Source organism: Homo sapiens, chromosome 10, assembly GCF_000001405.40.
Source record: "Homo sapiens chromosome 10, GRCh38.p14 Primary Assembly".
In the NCBI taxonomy this organism is placed as follows: Eukaryota; Metazoa; Chordata; class Mammalia; order Primates; family Hominidae; genus Homo; species Homo sapiens.
The window spans coordinates 42544110-42558460 of NC_000010.11; the positions used below are offsets into that span (position 1 = coordinate 42544110).

The 14351-nt window shown below is 41.9% G+C and overlaps 2 pseudogenes across 1 annotated transcript in view, besides 1 other annotated feature; one reads left to right on the plus strand and one right to left on the minus strand.

Annotated features, from left to right (window-relative positions):
* ZNF37BP (zinc finger protein 37B, pseudogene) overlaps window positions 1-8761 on the minus strand; it is a 39361-nt pseudogene extending 30600 nt beyond the window's left edge. The window contains exons 1-5 of the transcript NR_026777.2: window positions 8665-8761; window positions 8279-8433; window positions 7881-8171; window positions 7464-7705; window positions 6448-6506 (exon numbers count right to left, since the gene is read on the minus strand). The product of NR_026777.2 is annotated as a zinc finger protein 37B, pseudogene (transcript). The remainder of the gene's footprint in view (window positions 1-6447; window positions 6507-7463; window positions 7706-7880; window positions 8172-8278; window positions 8434-8664) is intronic.
* Window positions 7497-8035: an enhancer, noted in NCBI's record as "H3K4me1 hESC enhancer chr10:43047054-43047592 (GRCh37/hg19 assembly coordinates)". NCBI's record gives its function as "activates a minimal SCP1, AML or CMV promoter by ChIP-STARR-seq in naive H9 embryonic stem cells {active_cell/tissue: H9 hESC(naive)}" and the evidence as "EXISTENCE:reporter gene assay evidence [ECO:0000049][PMID:30033119]".
* On the plus strand, window positions 11257-11816 carry FXYD6P1 (FXYD domain containing ion transport regulator 6 pseudogene 1; annotated as a pseudogene).

Here is a 14351-nt window from a genome sequence, read left to right on the forward strand (position 1 = left end):
AAACTGGGAAGGAAATACATGGGGGCCGGGGTGGGGATAAGGGGTTTGAAAAGCTCCTGCATAAACCAGGGAATTGAGGTCATGTGCAAGGCCAGGGCAATATGCACGCTCACAAAAAACCTGAGAGGAACCTAAGCTTTCAGTCTGGTTGACCTTCAGGCTCAGTGTAAGCAGGAAGTAAAGCTTTACACAGAGATGTAAATGGCCTGGCAAACCATTACAAGAGCGCCCTAAAACAGGGCAAATATGCAAAGACCAGAATAGTTTTTTGTTTTGTTTTGGCTTTGGGCATTTAAAGAAATCTCTGTCAGATCACAAACTGACCACTAAACTAAGGGAACAGAGGTTTCTGTGACCATGTACAACAAAGAACTTTACAAAAATAGTTTTGAAAAGTCACAAAATAAACAAACAATGCAAAATAAACAGCAACAACAAATTCTGGGGAAAAGAATCTGATTTCTAGAATTAACACATTTTAATATTCAAAATGTTCAGTTTTCAATAAAAAATTATGAGGAATGCAAAGAAGATAATATGACCCACAGACACACAGAAAAAAGAAATGAATAAAACCTGTCCTCAAAGACACCTTTGTTATTGGTCTTACTAGATAAAGAATTTAAATCAACTGTTCTAAATGTGCACAAAAAGCTAAATGAAACCAGACAACTAACAGAAAGCAGGTGAGCGATGCCCTGCCAAATATAAAATATTAATATACAGAACAAAATTACAAAAATGTAATTAGGAATGTCTGGAGCTGACAAGTACAAAAACTAAATTTTTTTAAAATCAGTCAAAGGATTTAATAAAAGATTGGAGCTCAAAGAGAACAAAGAATCAGCAAAATTGAAGACACTGATGGAGATTACTCATTCTGTGGAGCAGAGAAAAAGAATGGTGAAAAATGGACAGTGCCTAAGAGATCTATGAGACAACATCAAGCATACCAACAAGTTAATAACAAGAGTTGCTAATGAAGAGGAGAAAAGGGAACCAAAAATATCTGAAGAAATAATGTCTGAAGACCTTCTAAACTGATGAAAGACATGAATCTCTATGCCCAAGACTCTCAAGAAACTATAATTAGGATAAGCTCAAAGAACTTCAAACTGAGAGAAATAATAAATTGTCACAAGACAAAGAATCTCAAAAGTAGCAAGAGATAAGGGACTAACCATGTACAAAGGATCTGAAATAAGATTAACAGCCAGACTTTTATTAGGAACCATGAAGGCCAGAGGCAGTAGGATAATGGCACCTTTCAAGTGCCAAAAGAAAAAAAATATATATCAAAAATTCTACATTTGGCAAAACTGCCTTTCAAAAATGAAAGAGAAATTAAAACATTCCTAGATCAACAGAATCTGAGAGAATTTATTAGTACTAGATCTGTCCTACAAGAAATGCAAAAGGAAGTCCTTAAGGTTGAAACAAAAGGACATTAGACAGTAACTCCAATCGAAACACACAAAAAATTCAAATGGTAAAAGTAACTACTGTAAGTAAATGCAAAAGCCAGTCTTATTGTATTCTTGGCTTTTATGTTCTCTCTTTTTTCTATATGATTTAAAAGACAAATACATAAAACAATAATTATAAATCTATGGTAATGTGCACGCTATTTATGAAGGCATAAAATGAGACAATAAGAAGACAAAGGACAGGGACAAAGCCGTATAGGAGGAGAGTTTTTATATAATATTAAGGCTTAGTTAGTATTAATGCAAGCTAGATTGTTATAAATTCAAGATGCTAATTGCAATTCCAAGTATTAACACTAGGTAAATAATGACTACAAACAAATACAAAAGGAATTAAAATGGCACATTAGAAAAAAACAAACACAAAAGAAGGCATACACAGAAAAACTGAAAACAAAAAAGATGTAATACGTATGGAAAACAAATAGCAAAATGGTATAAGTCCTTTATCAGTTTATAATTTACTCTAAATGTAAATAAACTAAACTCCCAACTAAAAGACAGAAATTGGCAAAATAGGCTGGGCATGGTGGCTTACACCTGTAATCCCAGCACTTTGGGAGGCTGAGGTGGGCGGATCACGAGGTCAGGAGTTTGAGACCAGCCTGACCAATACAGTGAAACCCCATCTCTACTAAAAAAAAAAAAAAAATACAAAAATTAGCCAGGTGTAGTGGTGTACACCTGTAATCCCAGCTACTCGGGAGGCTGAGGCAGAAGAACTGCTTGAACGCTGGAGGCAGAGGTTGCAGAGAGTCAAGATCGCACCACTGCACTCCAGCCTGGGTGATGCAGTAAGACTCTGTCTCAAAAAAAAAATAAAATAAAATAAATAATAAAAATAAAAATAAATTGGCAAAATAAATAAAAATATATGATCCAGGTATATATTGTCTACAAGACACTCTCTTTAGATACAAACACACAACACAATAGGTTGAAATTGAAATGACAGAAGAGGATAGTAACCTAAAGAATGCCAGGGTGGCTATACTGAGACAAAAGAGACTTTAAATCAAAAATTGTTACAAGAGAAAAACACTACATATTGATTAAAAAAAAAAAAAAACTAAGTCTACAAAGAAGACATAGTAACAGAAATAGAAATAAATCATCCTGAAGTTTACATAGAATTTCAAGGGATCTCAACTAGCCAAAATAATCTTGAAAACCCATGCATGTATGGTAAAATGATTTTCAACAAAGTTGTCAAGAACAGTCAATAGGGAAAGGACAATTTTTCTAACAAATAGTGTTGGTAAAACTGGATAGCCACATGCAAAACAAAACAAAAACAAAAAAATTAACTCAAAATGAATCAAAGACCTAAATCTAAGAACTAAAGGTACAAAACTCATGGCAGAACACATAGGAGAATGGATTCGTGTGGCAATGTTTTCTTGGATATAATACCAAAAACCACAGGCAACAGAAATAAAAATAAATTGGACCACATCAAACTTAAAAATTGTGCATCAAAGGACACAGTTAACTGAATGAAAAGACAACCAACACAACAGGAGGAAATATTTGCAATTCATGTATCTGATGAGGAATTAATATAAAAAATATATAAAGAACCCCTACAACTCAAAACAAACAAAATAACCTGATTCAAAGATGGACAAAGGATTTGAACAGACATTTCTCCATTAAAGATATATAAATGGTCAGCAAGCTTATGAAAATATGCTCAACATCACTGATCATTAGGGAAATACAAATCAAAACCACAGTGAAAAATTACCATACACCCATTACAATGGCTGCTATCAAAACAACAAAAGAAAATAACGAGTGTTGGCAAGGATATGGAGAAATCAGAATCCTGTACACTGAGGATGGGACTGTAAAATGGTGCACCTTCTGTAGAAAACAGGTCGGTGTTTCCTCAAGGAATTAAAAATAGAATTACCATAGGTTCCAGCCATACCACTTCTGAGTATATAACCAAAAGAACTGAAAGAAGGATCTCAAAGAATAGTTGTACCCCATGTTCACAGTAGCATTATTCACAACAGTTAAAAGGAGGAAGGAACCCAAATGTCCACTGACAGATGAATGAATAAACAAAACATGGGTACAATGAAATATCATTCAACATCAGAAAGGAGATAAATTCTGACACATGCTACAACACTGAGGAAGCTTGAGGACATTACGCTAGGTGAAATAAGCCAGTCACAATAAGACAAATACTGTATGATTTCACTTATATGAGATATAGCAAAAATAGTGAAACTCATAGAAACAGAAAGTAGGATGGTGGTTGCCAGGGGCAAGGAGGAGGGGAAAATGGGGAGTTATTGTTTAATGGGTAGAGAATTTCAATTTCCCAAGATGAAAAAATTCTGGTGATTAGATGTACAATATGAATATACTTAACACTGCTTCTGAACTGTACATCCAAAAATAGTTAAGATTGCTAAAGCAAAAAACTAACAATAAATAAAGATGCCTGCTTTGGCCACATATATTCAACATTGTACTAAAAATTTCAGCCAGAGGAATTAGGCTAAGTAAATAAATAAATAAACCCAAATTAGAAAGAAAGAAATGAAATAGTTTTGTTTGCAGATGACATGATCTTATATGCAGAAAATACTAAAGAATCCACAAAGAAACTACTAGAAGTAGGAAACAAATTCAGCAAAATTACAAGATACAAGATCAACACTCAAAAATTATTTGTGTACTCATTACAATGAGCAGTCAAAAAGCAAATTAACAATTCCACTTACAATAGCATTTAAACAAAAGAAATTTTAGGCTTGTGGGCCATCACAGTCTCTACTGCAACCAGTCAACTCTGCCCTCGTAGTGTGAAAGTACTCACAGGCTATACATAAATACATGAGTATGGCTGAGTCCCGATAAAACTTTATAGACACTGAAGTCTGAATTTCATATAATTTACGATAGCATTTAAATGAAAAACTATTTAATAAATTTAAGCAAGGATATGCAACACTTGTACACTGAAAACTACAAAATATTAATGAAGGAAAGAAGACCTAGGGAAAAAAAATCTTATGTTCATTGATTATAAGATTTAATATTAAGATAACACTCCCCAAAGTGTTATCACCCACTCTAATACTTACCCAATCCAATACTTATCAAAAACTCAACATACTTTTTTGCAGAAATAGAAAAGCTAACTAAAAATTCCTATGGATTGCAAAGCACCCTGCTGTGGAAAACTGTCGGTTTCACAATAAATTAAATGTAAAATTACCATATCACCCAGCAATTTCACTTGTACGTATATACCCAAAACAATTGAAAGCATGTATTCAAACAAATATTTGTACATGAATGCTCATAGGAGCACTCTCCACAATAGCGAAACACAGGATGACCCCCAATGTCCATCAACAGATGAATGGATAAACAAAAGGTGATATATCCATATAATAGAATATTGTTCAGTCATAAAAAGGGACAAAGTACTGATATACAACTACAACATAAATGGGTCTTGAAAACATTATTCTAAGTGAGAGATCAGACACAAATTGTATGATTCCATTCATATGCCATATCCAAAATAGGCAAATCTATAAAGACAGAAAGGAGATTATTGGTTGTTAGGGGCTGGGAGCACAGCGGGGAAAAGGGAGCAACTGCTTATTAAGTTACAATACTGCTTATTAAGGGTGATGTGTTTCCTTTTGGTGTGATGAAAATATTCCAGAAATAAATGGTGGTTATGGTTGTACAACATTGTGAATGTACTAAAGTCACTGAATTCTATACTTTAAAATGGCTTGTGAATTTCATGTGATGTGTGTTTTACCACAATTTTTTTTTTAGGTAGAATCCCTCGAAAGTTATTGCAAATATTCCAGTTCTGCCCAGTCTCTAAGGCTGTCACAAAGCCTGCCACATCCTAACAACCCATGATCACCCTAGCCTACCAGGACTGTTTCTTTAAACAACCATGAGTCCTAATGCTACACAATTCATTGGATTTTTTTTTTTTTTTTTTTTTTTCCTGAGACGGAGTCTCACTCTGTTGCCCAGGCTGGAGCGCAGTGGCACAATCTCGGCTCACTGCAACCTCCACCTCCTGGGTTCAAGTGATACTCCTGCCTCAGCCTCCTGACTAGCTGGGATTACAGGCACGCACCACCATGCCCAGCTAATTTTTGTAATTTTAGTAGAGACAGGGTTTCACCATGTTGGTCAGGCTGGTCTCGAACTCCTGACCTCATGATCCACCCGCCTTAGCCTTCCAAAGTGCTGGGATTACAGGCGTGAGCCAATGTGCCCGGCCTATTTGAATTTTTTAATCATATACTTTCTTTTGCTATCTGTTAAGTTTTCCCCTGGACTGCACATGAATTACTCACTTTGTTGTACTACTTTTTTAAGTACCTGCAAGACTGTCATCAGAAGTTTCACAATGTCACCTAATAAAGCCCACCGACAAACTGTTTTATGTTCCAGTTTCACAACTGTAAGATCACAAGATCTGCATTCACCTATATGACATTTTTGTCTTACTCTTCATCAACTCTCTATCAGAAATCAGCAAACATTTTCTGTAAAGAGTCACACAGTAAATATTTTAGGCTTGTAGGCCATTACAGTCTCTGCTGCAACCAGTCAACTCTGCCTTTGTAGTGTGAAAGTACCAACAGGCAATACATAAATACATGAGTATAGCTGAGTCCCAATAAAAATTCATAGACAATGAAGTCTGAATTTCATACAATTTCCAAGCAAAATAATACTCTTGGTTTTTTTCCCTCAGCCACCTAAAAGTATAAAAACCATCCTTCATTTGTGGACCATAAAAAAACAGACAGTAGGCTGCATTTGACCCATGAACTGTAATGTGACCTCTCCTCTATATTTTCCAGGATGTTATTTCTACTTTCATATGAATGTATAGACATTTTTTAAACCTCAATAATTAGTTTTAAGCAAAACTGTGAAAAAATAAACAACTTACCTGGGATGTGATCATATTCCACTAGTGTTGGCAGAGCAGAGAAAACCGAGAGGGTGTAGCTTACAAACAAGAAAAGAACATGAGAAATGTCACTTGCCTAAAAATGTCCACCTCCCAGCTGGCAAAACATCTCTAAAAGGGAGATACTCACACGTCCATGCATGACTCTGGCATGGTTATGTACTGCTTGGACACATTAGTTTTCAAATGTGAAAACGTTTGGTTTTCTACTGACTTATAAACAACTTATGCTGTACTCTAACAGAGTATGCAAACCAATATATTAAACTAATTAAGCAAGTTAGGAAAAGCCAAAGAATGGAACATAATACTTTCATTAAAACTGATGCTAAACAAAAATATTCAGGTTTTAATCTTTATTATAAACCAGAGAATCCCAACAAGGTTTTGAAAAAAGTGATGTGGTATTTTTCAGCCCAGTTTTTTTTTGTTTGCTTTTTTGAGACAGAGTCCTGCCCTGTCACCCAGGCTGGAGTGCAATGGCACAGTCTTGGCTCACTGTAACCTCTGCCTCCTGGGTTCAGGTGATTCTCCTGCCTCAGCCTCCCAAGTAGCTGGGACTACAGGTGCGCACCACCACGTCGGGCTAATTTTTTGTATTTTTAGTAAAGACGGGGTTTCACCATGTTGGTCAGGCTGGTCTCGAACTCCTGACCTCGTGATCTGCCGGCCTCAGCCTCCCAAAGTGCTGTGATTACAGGCGTGAGCCACTGCGCCCGGCAGAGCCCAGTTTTTTTGGAAGGAAAACGAACTTGCTCTAACTTGGTTTCAGGTTCTCAAAACCATCTTTGGATTTTAAAAAGCAAACGGATTTTTTCTTACTCTGTTGTCAATGCAGCAAACACCTGCCTGAGTCCTCAAGCGACTCAGTGTCTGTTCTTGACTCTGCCACAACAAAATGTGTCAATGTCAACAGTCACTTAACATGTTAAGCTTGTTTCCTGTCCACCCCACCCCATCCCATCTTTTAAATAAAGCCGAAATAGATAACTTACAGACCTTTCTTGCGGCTGCACCTCTGATTCTGTAAGATCAAGATGGGGGCATCCGTACATCTCTAGTTGTGCTGCAATATGCCAGCAGCTCAACATCGAGAACGAGCGAGTAACGAATCCAGGCATGGAGGGTGCTGTCCTCCACTTGGCTGCTAAGCTCGGCCCTCCGCATGATGCCTTCACAACTCCCCAAGAAGCGGTGCTGTCTGCTCCTTCGGCCTTGCCCTCCTCTGCCGCCACATCTGAATGGGCACAAATCTCCCACCATCACCCAGCCTGTGGGAGTCTGAACAGGACACAAATCGAGCCTCTGCTCCTCCCATCCGTGCTCTAGATCTCTAATGAGGTCTCGGCCCAACAGGTCCGATGTCCTCCTAGGAGGGCCCCTGCACCCTCACCCCTCCTTTCCCTTCTCACCCCACAACAGATGTTTTGCTCCAAGACAGCTGGGCCTAAGCCCTTCAGTTCGAATCCTCATCCAAGACTGAAAGCTCCTACATCTTCCTGTCACTTTAGCCACAAGCTGCACCGTCTGGAAATGCCCACTGCTACTAGGGACACAGGCGAGGCCGGACAGTGCCGGAGGACCCGGGGTGCCTCCCTCCACGTGCGCGGCCTCACAGGTCAGTGGAAACAAGAAATCCCCCAATCCACAGCCACGATGACTTCAAAATACTTCCTGAAGGCATCAGGCCATGAAGCTGCGACCTGCGAGGACACAGCAAGCGGGGTGACGCTGAGCAGAGGCTTGGTGTGGAGTCCGCGCCCGCAGGGTCCCTCCCCGCCCCGCGGGTGCTTCCCGCCACCTCGCTCGCCTCTGCGTCGCAGTGACAACGCGGGGATGCCGACCACAGGTGGTTGGAAGGAGACAGCGAGATTCTGAGGGGAAAGAATAAGGAGAGAAGCAGCATCTTTTGGGCAGAAGGCCCGTTTCCGCACGGTCCTGCCGAGGCCTCCGGGCATCCTTCACCTCAGGGAAGAGAAAATCCAACCTTACTTATCACAGGCGCGGGACCTACGTTCCCTTCGGGAGCAGAAGAACCAGGACAGGATTAGGACGCAGGCCAGGCGGCAAAGCCGCTCCCTCTCTCCCACCTCCAGGACAAGCGGCACCTCCAGTCCACCCTCGCTCCAGCCCTCCCGTACTCTACCCCCGGCATCCTCTGCCCCGAAGCAGGGAGATGCCGGGAGCCCTCCCTACCAGGCTGTACCGGAGAAAAACAAACCTGGAGCCACACCGCGCACATGCGCAGAAAGCCCAAAGCGGCTCCCGCGACCGGGGCCAAAAAGTGCACACTACATTTCCCACAAGTCCTCGCGCCGCTCCCTTAGAAAGTACACGCTACATTTCCCACAAGCCCTCGCGCCGCTCCCTGAGAAAGTGAAGACTACATTTCCCAGAAGTCCTCGCGCCGCTCCTTTAGAAACGGCCTGAGGTTTCAGCGCCGTTCGGTAGTTAGTTCCCAGATGCACCGAGTGCAATACTGCAATTTTATTCGTTAGCTGAAATAAATTATGAGTATTTAAATTACACAGGTTTCTTATGAATTACATCTCCCTGATGATTTGGCTGTCCTCAACACTTCCTCGTTTGGCAGAATTCAGGAGTGGAATTTCTCCAGACACGGTCGGTTCCTGTGGCCCCGCTGCGCCGCGGCGGCACCACCTCCACTTGCGCCTGTGGCTCCACTTGCTTGGTTCTGGTCCACTGGACGCTCACCCTGAGAAAACACGCTGGACATGAGCATTACCAGCCTGTACACTGTTGTAAAGATAACTCGGAATTGCTCTTCAAATTTTATTTGTTAAACCACGTAATACCATCTTTTATGACAAACCTGCATTTTCCATTCTTCAGGAGTATGTTGGATCTCTTGATCAAAATAACTTTTTAAAATGTTCACTGACAGAGGTAACACAGGAGTGGATAACTAAAAAACGTACGTTCTCACTTATAAGTGGGAGCTAAGCTATGAGTACGCAGAGGCATACAGAGTGATACAATGGACTTTAGAGACTCAGAAGGGGGCTGGTGGGAAGGAGGCCGGAGATTTAAAAAACTACACATGGCCAGGCGCAGTGGCTCATGCCTGTAATCTCAGCACTTTGGGAGGCGGAGGCGGGAGTCAGGAGTTCAAGACAAGCCTAGCCAACATGGTGAAACCACGTCTCTACTAAAAATACAAAATTAGCTGGGCGTGGTGGCACACATTTGCAGTCTCAGCTATTTGGGAGGCTGAGGCAGGGGAATTGCTTGAACCCGAGAGGTGGAGGTTGCAGTGAGCCGAAATCGCGTCATTGCACTCCGGCCTGGGCAACAAGAGTGAAACTCAGTTTCAAAAAACAAAACAAAACAAAAAACTACACATTAGGTACAGTGTACACTACTCGGGTGACAGGTGCACTAAGATCTCAAAATTCACCATTTTATAATTCATCCATAACCAAAAACCAATTGTACTCCAACAGCTATTGAAGTTTAAGTTAAAAATAAAAAATAAATGTCCACTGACCAAAACAGAAGCATTTTTCTCCATTTCTATTCCTTTTTTTTTTTTTTTGAGACGGAGTCTCACTCTGTTACCCAGGCTGGAGTGCAGTGGCGCAATCTCAACTCCCTGCAACCTCTGCCTCCTGGGTTCAAGCGAATCTCCTGCCTCAGTCTCCCGAGTACCTGGGACTACAGACGTGCACCACCAAGCCTGGCTAATTTTTTTGTATTTTTAGTAGAAACGGGGTTTCACCATGTTGGCCAGGATGGTCTCGATCTCTTGACCTCGTGATCCGCCCGCCTCAGCCTCCCAAAGTGCTGGGATTACAGGAGTGAGCCACCGCGCCCGGCTTCTATTCCCTTCTTTACCACCACTGATGATAATCCCACTTGTTCCCATGCTGGAAAAGCATTTAGTACCATCCACGTAAAAGAGTCAGTTTATTCAAGGGATGAGATGTATTTCAGAAGACATCATGGCAAGTACAGTAATGATTATCATTTCAAGTCACAATTTATTTTCCTGCTCATGATTTTTTTTCTTTTTCTTTTTTTTTTTTTTTTTTTGAGGGAGTCTCACTGTCACCCAGGCTGGAGTGCAGTAGCATGATCTTGGCTCACTGCAACCTCCGCCTCCTGGGTTCAAGCGATTCTCCTGCCTCAGCGTCCCAAGTAGCTGGTACTACAGGCTTGTACCACCACACCTGGCTAATTTTTGTAATTTTAGTAGAGACAGGGCTTCACTATGTTGGCCAGGCTGGTTTTGAACTCCTGACCTTGTGATCTGCCCGCCTTGGCCTCCCAAAGTGCTGGGATTACAGGCATGAGCCACGGCACCCGGCCTAATGTTTTTCCATTTTAAGAACAGTCTTGACACTTGTGAATATTCCATTTTTTTTTTTTTCAGACTGGGTCTCATTCTGTCTCCCAGGCTGGAGTGCAGTGGCATGATCTCGGGTCACTGCAACTGCCGCCTCCAAGATTCAAGTGATTCTCCTGCCTCAGCCTCCCCAGTAGCTGGGATTACAGGCACATGCCACCATGTCTGGCTAATTTTTCATATTTTCAGTAGAGACAAGTTTTCACCATATTGACCAGGCTGGTCTCGAATTCCTGACCTCAAGTGATCCACCCGCCTCAGCCTCCCAAAGTGCTGGGATTACAGGTGTGAGCCACCTCACCCAGCCTCCATTATTTCTTTAATGGTTCAGGTTCCATTATGCCATGGATTATTTCAGTAACATTGTTTGCTCTTTCAATTTGTATAATCCTATCCCTAAAGAGATTGAAAACTATGAACATGCCACTCCCAGCCTCCTTGGGACTTGACACATCCTCCTGGGATCATCTCAGATGGGACTGACTGTGCCGGCACCATGGAGGTGGTGCTGATCTTTCTATGCAGCCTGTTGGCCCACATTGTCCTGGCCGATGCAGTTGAGAGGGAGAAGCAAATTGACCCTTTTCATTATGACTACCAGACCCTGAGGATTAGGGGGTTGGTATGTGCTGTGGTCCTCTTCTCCATTGGGATCCTCCTTATCCTAGGTTGCAGATGCAAGTGCAGTTTCAATCAGAAGCCCAGGACCCCAGGAGAGGAGGAAGCCCAGGTGGAGAACCTCATCACTGCAAATGCAACAAAGCTCCAGAAAGCAGAGAGCTGAATGAAGTGCAGCCTTCCAGTGGGAAGCCTCTGGAACCTGAAGGCAGCTGCTTGAACTTTTAGATGCAAATGTTGATGCTTAAGAAAACAGCCACTTCAGCAACAAATCTTTCCCCAAGAGAAGCCAATAACTTGTGTGTCCCCCCATGCCCTTCCCTGTCCCTTCTAACACCATTCCTCCACCTGATGATCCAACTAATCTCTTGCCTCACCACTGCAGCCTGCAGGCTCCTCCAACTCCTGTGATGTGTCTGTGTGTGTGTTTGCTGACTGTAATGTTCATGGCTACTTGTTCATGGTTATTATAGTTAGTGAACTGTGGACTCACTTTCCTGGGCAGAGGCTGAGCCATGCGGCCATCTGCTCCTATCTGCCCCCCATCACCTCTCACTCCTGGGGGTCTGCTTTTTTCCCTGGAGAGTCTAGCTCCTTCCCTTTAGAGCATGGGCAGGAGTCTCCAGTTGTCTTGGGACCTGGGAAGGTTTGCATCACTTTCATCATCTTTCTTTATGGAGTCTCTTCACTCCTTTTACAAGAACCTCGCTTCCTTATCCCACTCCAACCTCAGTCTGTTCTGAAGATCAGCAATTAGAGATACAAAGCAAAGCAAGGAGTTTGTAAGCCCAGCATTGCCTTCAGGAGGCTACTATACCCTTCCACGGTTATTTTTCTCCCTGGGGAAGCCCCAGGGGGCTCCATCTGCCCTGCCCTTCACATAGCACCCAGGGATTCCAGGTCCGGGGCTGCTGCTTTTTTTCTTTTTTTTTCCAGAGTCCCACTCTGTCACCCAAACCAGAATGCAGTGGCACGATCTCAGCTCACTGCAACCTGGGTTCAAGGGATTCTCATGCCTGGGTCTCCCGAGTAGCTGGGATTATAGGCAGGCAGCACCACACTCAGCTAATTTTTGTATTTTTAGTAGAGATGTGGTTTTTCCTGGCCTCAAGCAATCCACCTACCTTGGCCTCCCAAAATTCTGGGATTACAGGTGTCAGCCACCATGCCCAGCCCAGGCCCAGGGCTTCTAATCTGCCCTTGGGGAATGTAGCCCTTACATATCTTATCAGCAATAACCACAGGGGCTCTGGTATCCCACCCATCTCCAACCTTCCTGCTTCTAAGACTTCAACCTACAGCCGAGTTTTTGTGGACACAGGCTTCCGTCCTTGAAGTTGAGTCTCCAGCAGGTGATGACTGAAGGATTCCCATTCTGTTGCTGCCAGCACACTGGAATGGACAGAGGGAGAGTAAGGGGCCTTTGCTTCTCCGCCCATGTCCCCTTGGTCAGCAGAGAACTCCTGCATCCTTTGCTCTGCCTGTCAGTGGTCAGAGAGGTGAGTGAGGTAGGTTAGAGACCCAGTAGGCTCCATGCAGCACTGCTGCAGAGGGTACAGGAAGAGGCCAAAGGTCATAATGACAGCGGGAGCTCAAACAAGATCCCGCCCTTCCTGTCCTCCATGTGCCTGTGGAAATCAACCAACCGAGCCTCTGTGCCAGACTGCTGTTTTCTGTATCACGATCTGTCTGAACAACAGAAAAAAGGAATAAAATATTTGTTTCCTAGTGAAAAAAAAAAAAAAAACATGAACAAAAAACAAGTAAACTTCAATCAATGGATTATTTTTAAAGTAAACAAAAATTTTGGAATCTTTTCTTGAGAATTAAAATATTTCAAGACTTTACATAAACAACTTTCTCAACTGTGTTAGTTACAGGAGCCAATGAGTTTCTAACTACAAAGGAAATGAAGAATATTGAATGCCAAAAAAAATCAAACAATCCTTTAATCACTCAATTCTAATCGTGTAAATGCTGAAGTAAGAGAACAATTTTATGACAGTTACTTCAATGAAAATGCAAAGAACATCAGATGCTATTTGGACCTCATGATGCAGAATGTGGGTCGGACGGCCCACAAGTTGGAATCATTCATGCTGTACTTCAGCTTGGACCAAGCATGTCTGTGCCTTTATGCAAACATCAACCACAATTTGTATTTGTGTTATCGCCACCAAAAGCAGTTCAGAAGCAAAGGGAAAATATCTTCTGCCTTGTGCTTACTTGTATCCATGGCTCTGCTGTAAATAGGTGAGGCATTTAGATCATTGATCATCTCTGTGATCATAGTGAAGCTATTACTTTTGTTGTTGTTGCAGTAGATTTCATCCTGGCTCTTCAAAATTTGATTGCATCTTTGAAATCAGAAAATACTTCTAGCAGTAGTACTTTCAAATTGTCATTTGAGCTGAAAGACTGCTCCTGTTATATAGTGTGGCAGATAGTTACAACTTCCACTGCAATTACTATATCTCAATCTGAATTCTTTTTATTTTTTATTTTTTTTGAGGCAGTCTCGCTCTGTTGCCCAGTTGACACCATCATACAGTGGTGCAATCTCAGCTCACTGCAACCTCCACCTCCCAAGTTCAAGCAATTCTCTTTCCTCAGCCTCCCGAGTAGCTGGAATTACAGGTGCTCACCACCATGCCACGCTAATTTTTTGTAATTTTAGTAGAGACAAGGTTTCACCATGTTGCCTAGGCTGGTCTTGAACTACTGAGCTCAGGCAATCCACCCACCTAGGCCTCCCAAAGTGCAAGGATTACAAGTGTGTGTCACCGCACTCGGTCTTGAATTCTTTTTAATAAAAAAATTTGTTTACCACTTTATATAGTATTAGTTGAGGAAATCATACATCTTCCATGTTTAGCTGTTACTATGTGCTGGTGCCTTT